Consider the following 6,290-nt stretch of genomic DNA (forward strand, 5'->3'; position numbering starts at 1 on the left):
TCAGGTGATCTGCCCACCTAAGCCTCCCAAAGTGCTGGGATCACAGGCGTGAGCCACCACACCTGGCCCCAGGGGATTCTTGATTGCAGCCAGGCAGAGCCTGCAGTCCCAGGGTGGCGAGTTCCAGCAGACCTATGAAGGACTGGCTCCAGGGTCCCTGAGCACAAGGTTGCAAGGCCATGTTGTCACACTCTGGACCTCTTGTTTGTTTGTTTGTTTGTTTGTTTGTTTTTTGAGACGGAGTCTCGCTCTTTCGCCCAGGACGGACTGCAGTGGCATGATCTCGGCTCACTGCAAGCTCCGCCTCCCGGGTTCATGCCATTCTCATGCCTCAGCCTCTTGAGTAGCTGGGACTACAGGCGCCCGCCACCGCGCCCACCTAAATTTTTTGTATTTTTAGTAGAGACGGGGTTTCACCATGTTAGCCAGGATGGTCTCGATCTCCTGACCTCGTGATCCGCCTGTCTAAGCCTCCCAAAGTGCTGGGATTACAGACGTGAGCCACTGCGCCCAGCCAACAGATGAGTACAGTCTATCTGTTCGTGTGGCTATAAGAAAGTACCAGAGACTGGGTTATTTATAAAAAACGGAAATTTTGGCCAGGCACAGTGGCTCACGCCTTTAATCCCAGCATGCTGGGAGGCCAGGGCAGGTGGATCGTGTGACCTTAGGAGTTCGAGATCAGCCTGGGCAACATGACGAAACCCTATCTGTACAATGCCAAGAAAAAAAAAAAAAGCAGGGTGTGGTGGTGCATACCTGTAATCCCAGCTACTCGGGAGGCTGAGGTGGGAGAATCACTTGAACCCAGGAGGCAGAGGTTGCAGTGAGCCGAGATCGTGCCACTGCACTCCAGCCTAGGTGACAGAGACCCTGTCTCATACAAACAAACAAACAAAACCCAGAAATTTCTTTCTCACAGTTCTGGAGGCTAGGAAGGCCAAGATTAAGTTACCAGCAGGTTGGTATCTGGTGAGGGCATGGTGGCCATTTCCAATATGGCACCTTGCTGCTATGTCCTCCCGGGGGGACCAGTGCTGTGTCTTCAAGTGACAGAGGGATGTAAGGGCAATGAAAGGGCCTAGCTCATTCCCGCCAACCTTTTTATGAGGTTACTAATCCCATGCCCTCATGACTTAATGATGCCCCACCTCTTAATACTACCAGACTGGTGGTTAAGTTTTAACATATGAATCTTGGGGAACACATTCAGACCACAGCAGATATACTGTAGAAAAGAATAGTCCGTAAATTCCCCAGCAGTAACACTTCGCATATTTTGCCTCTTATTACTTGGAGTATACTGTGTTTCATATGGCTTTTTAAACTTTGTAAAAACTGCAGCAAGTGCCTGATTACTTAGGGCTTGTTTATCTAGTGACAGACTATTTAGTCCATTAATTTTGTGCTGTACAACAGGAAAGAGAGAGAAAGAAAATGACTTCTGAAGAGACTGAATCATCTTTATGTCCTCTATGGTAGTTGGCACTTGGTAGATATTAAATAAACAACAGGCTGGGCAAGACGGCTCATGCCTGTAATCCCAGTACTTTGGGAGGCTGAAGCAGGTGGATCACTTGAGCTCAGGAGTTCAAGACCAGCCTGGGCAACATGGTAAAATCCTATCTCTACAAAAACTATAAAAAGTAGTGGGATGTGGTGGCATGTGCCCATAGACCCAGCTACTTGGAAGGCTGAAGTGGGAGGATTGCTTGAGCCCAGGGGGTGGAAGTTGGACTGAGCCAAGGTCCAGCTCCAGCATGGGCCACAGAGGGAGACCCTGTCTCAAAACAAACAAACAAACAAATCTCTTTAACTCCCAAAATGGAAAGTTCTCCAAGATATATGTTAAGTGATTAAAAAAAAAAACAAAAAAAAAGGGCCAGCCTGGCATGCTGGCTCATGCCTGTAATCCCAGCACTTTGGGAGGCCGAGGAAGACAGATCACCTGACGTCAGGAGTTCGAGACTAGCCTGACCAACATGGGGAAACCCCGTCTCTACTAAAAATACAAAATTAGCCAGGTGCGGTGGCACATGCCTGTAATCCCAGCTACTCGGGAGGCTGAGGAGGAGAATCGCTTGAACCCAGGAGGCGGAGGCTGTGGTGAACCGAGATCGCACCACTGCACTCCAGCCTAGGCAACAAGAGCGAAACTCCATCTCAAAAAAAAAAAAAAAAAAAAAAGGAAACCGCATCTCTACTAACAATACAAAAATTAGCTGGGCAAGGAGCTAGGTGATTATAGTACCAGCTACTCAAGAGGCTGATGCAGGAGAATCACTAAACCGCATCTCTACTAAAAATACAAAACTTAGCCAGGCAAGGAGCCGGGTGACTATAGTGCCAGCTACTCAAGAGGCTGATGCAGGAGAATCACTTGAACCCGGGAGGCGGAGTTTGCAGTGAGTTGAGATTGCACCACTGCATTCCAACCTGGGCAACAGTGCGAGACCCTGTCTCAAAAGAAAAAAATAATATAAAGTGACCAGGTGTGGTGACACACCTGTTATCCCACCACTTTGGGTGGAAGCAGGAGGATCACTGGAGCCCAGGAGTTTGAAACCAGCCTAGGCAACATAGTGAGACCCTGTCTCTGTATTAAACACACACACACATGCACACACACACACACACACACACAAAGGCAGCCAGACTATGCACTAGGAACTGCCCTGGGAATCCCTTTGCATTCTCACAACAATCCCATTTCACAGATGAAGAAACCAAGGCACAGAAATATTAAGTAACGTGTCCAGGTGCGGTGGCTCACGCCTATAATCCCAGTACTTTGGGAGGCTGAGGCAGGCAGATCACGAGGTCAGGAGTTCGAGACCATCCTGGCCAACATGGTGAAACCCTGTCTCTACTAAAAATACAAAAATTAGCTGGATGTGGTGGCAGGTGCCTGTAATTCCAGCTACTCAGGAAGCTGAGGCAGGAGAATTGCTTGAACCCAGGAGGCGGAGGTTGCAGTGAGCCGAGATCACACCACTGCACTCCAGCCTGGGTGACAGAGCAAAACTCCTTCTGAAAAAAAAAAAAAAAAAGAAGAAGAAGAAGAAATATTAAGTAACTTGTCTGAGGCCACTTAGTTACCAAGACGTGGGAGCTGGGACTTGAACCCAGGCAGTCTGGCTGGATTCATGCCTGCAGCCTCTGCACTCCTGCTACTTACTGTGTGAGAAGCGCCTGTTCTGTGGAAGGTTGTGGGCTGAGATCTTTCCATGAGTTCCACTCATTTACCCCCCAAGGCTGTTCTTAAAGACGGGCATGACAGTTATGCCCATTTTACAGATGGGGCCCTGAGGCTCACAGGGGCATGCCACTCGCCCATTTCCACAAAGCTATAGCTCGTTAGCGGAGGGCAGAATTCGGCCGCCTCTCCCCTAGCTCGAAGGCTGTGATTGACACAGAGGTTTTTTTGTTGTTGTTGCTGTTGTTTGTTCCTTTTTCTTTTTTTTTTTTGAGACAGGGTCTTGCTCTGTCATCCCGGCTGGAGTGCAGTGGTGCGATCTCAGCTCACTGCAAACTCTGCCTCCAAGATGCAAATGATTCTCGTGCCTCAGCCTCCCAAGTAGCTGGAATTACAGGTGTGCACTACCACGCCCAGCTGTTTTTTGTAGAGATGGGGTTAGTAGAGATTTGTTTTATAGAGACGGGGTTTCACCATGGTCTCTACTAAACCCTGTCTCTACTAAAAATACAAAAATTACCCAGGCGTGGTGGCACATGCCTGTAGTCCCAGCTACTCAAGAGGCTGAGGCAGGAGAATCACTTGAACCTGGGAGGTGGAGGTTGCAGTGACCCAAAATCATGCACTCTAGCCTGGGGTCTCGCTTTTGCCCAGGTTAGAGTGCAGTGGCACAATCATAGTGGCTCACTGCAGCCTCAAACTCCTGGGCTGGAGGGAATCCTCCCACCTCAGCCTCCCAAGTAGCTAGGACTATAGGCATGTGCCATCCTGGCGAGTTAATTTTTTGTGTGTTTTTATTCTCTCGAGACAGAGTCTTGCTCTGTTGCTCAGGCTGGACTGCAATGGCGTGATCTTGGCTCACCGCAACCTCCACCTCCTGGGTTCAAGCAATTCTCCTACCTCAGCCTCCCGAGTAACTGGGATTACAGGTGCGTGCCACCATGCCTGGCTAATTTTGTATTTTTAGTAGAGACAGGGTTTCGCCATGTTGGTCAGACTGCTCTCGAACTCCTGACCTCGTGATCCACCTGCCTCGGCCTCTCAAAGTGTTGGGATTACAGGCATGAGCCACTGAGCCTGGCCTGGTGAGCTAATTTTTAAATTTGTTATAGAGACAAGAGTCTCTCTTATGTTGCCCAGGCTGGTCTCGACCCCCTGGCCTCAAGTGATCCTCCCACCTCAGCCTCCCAAAGTGCTGGGATTACAGATGCGTGTCACCGCACCTGGCCTCTGAGGAGGATTTCATTATAAACCTGCCCTGAAGGGAGGGAATCCAATTTTACGAGAGGGTGTAGCCTGGTGAGGCCTGGATGACCTCCGGAGGCAGGGGCTTGTGCCTGGGCTGAGGCCTAAGGGACAATGGGCAGACATGAAGTTGCCCCAGGCAGAGGGTACAGTGTGGGCAAAGTCAGGAAGTGGCAGGGCTTGGATCACTCCAGGAAGAGAGAGGAGTCATGTGTCACAGGAGCTCGAGACCCAGAGAGTGAGGCAGGCAGGCAGGGACCAAGCTTGGGCACAGCCAGGAAGGCAGGACAGGGCATGGTGGGGCCAATGGAATCATTATCGAAGTCGGGGATTTTCAGGGAAACAGCTTAGATAAGGCCAGGCATACAGTAGCTCCCACCTGTAATCCCAGCATTTGGAGAGGCTGAGGTAGGAGGACTGCTTGAGCCTGGGAGTTCGAGACCAGCCTAGGCAACATAGACCCCATATCCACAAAAAATTTAAAAAAGGAGTTTGTGTTCCTGTAGTAGCATACTTGGGAAGTTGAGGTGGCAGTATCACTTGAGCCCGGGAGTTCAAGGCTAAAGTGAGCTGATGGAGCCATTGCACCCCAGCCTGAGCAACAGAGAGATACGCTGTCTCAAAGGAAATACAAATTAAAAAACCAGCCGGGCATGCTGGCGTGTGCCTGTAGTCTCAGCTACTTGGGACACTGAAGTAGGAGGATCGCTTGAGCCCAGGAGTTCAAGGCTGCCGTGAGCTATGATTGTGCCTCTGCAGTCCAGCCTGGGCGACAGAGAAAGACCCTGTCTCTTAAAAAAAAAAAAAAAAAAAAAAAAAAAAAAAAAAAACTTAGATAAGAGGATGCTGTGCCTCCCTGGGGGTCTTCAGTCACCCATGGTCCTGGCAAGAGAGGAGGGCCAGGAGAGAGCTTCACCCACCTGCTGTCCTGCCCATGTGACATCCGCAGGTGCTGCCATGGCCACGACTGTTGTTACACTCGAGCTGAGGAGGCCGGCTGCAGCCCCAAGACAGAGCGCTACTCCTGGCAGTGCGTCAATCAGAGCGTCCTGTGCGGTGAGTCCCCAGCAGCACCATGCCACCCACCCCGAGTATCCCCTGGGCACCCTGGCATAGCCAGATGACTTCTGTGCCCCTGTTGCAATAACCACTGCTTCCAACTCTCTATAGAACACCCCTTGGGTATATCTAATGTAAGTGATATTTATTTTATTTATTTTTTGAGTCAGAGTCTCGCTCTGTCACCCAGGCTAGAGTGTGCTGATGTGATCTTGGCTCACTACAACCTCTGCCTCCTGGGTTCAAGCGATTCTCATGCCTCAGCCTCCCAAGTGGCTGGGACTACAGGCATGCACCATCACGCCCAGCTAATTTTTGTATTTTTTTCAGTAGAGGTGGGGTTTCACCAAGTTGGCCGGGCTGGTCTCAAACTCCCCACCTCAAGTGCTCTGCCCGCCTCGGCCTCCCAAAGTGCTGGGATTACAGGCATGAGTCGTGGTGTCTGGCCCTAATGTGAGTGATCTTTAACAATGAGGACTTGAAAAAGAAAACCCTGAAGAAACCTAATTCTTTGATGTCTGGACGACAAGGAAGAAGATAGAAATGGCATCAGATAATAAACAGTGTAAATGTTTATCAGAAAGAGGCTGGTGGTCGGGACCAGTAGGAGGATCGCTTGAGTCCAGGAGTGCATCTCTACAAAAAAGTTAAAGGATTTTTTAACATTGGCCAGGCGTGGTGGCACACATCTGTGATCCCAGCTACTTGGGAGGCTGAGGCAGGAGGATTGCTTGAAGCCCAGGAGGTTGAGGCTGCAGTGAGCTGTGATCGAGCCACTGCACTCCAGCCT

The 6,290-nt window shown here is 50.2% G+C and overlaps 1 annotated feature.

Annotated features, from left to right (window-relative positions):
* Positions 156-655: an enhancer, noted in NCBI's record as "H3K4me1 hESC enhancer chr16:28347523-28348022 (GRCh37/hg19 assembly coordinates)". NCBI's record gives its function as "activates a minimal SCP1, AML or CMV promoter by ChIP-STARR-seq in primed H9 embryonic stem cells {active_cell/tissue: H9 hESC(primed)}" and the evidence as "EXISTENCE:reporter gene assay evidence [ECO:0000049][PMID:30033119]".

This window comes from Homo sapiens, chromosome 16 (assembly GCF_000001405.40).
Source record: "Homo sapiens chromosome 16, GRCh38.p14 Primary Assembly".
Taxonomy (NCBI): Eukaryota; Metazoa; Chordata; class Mammalia; order Primates; family Hominidae; genus Homo; species Homo sapiens.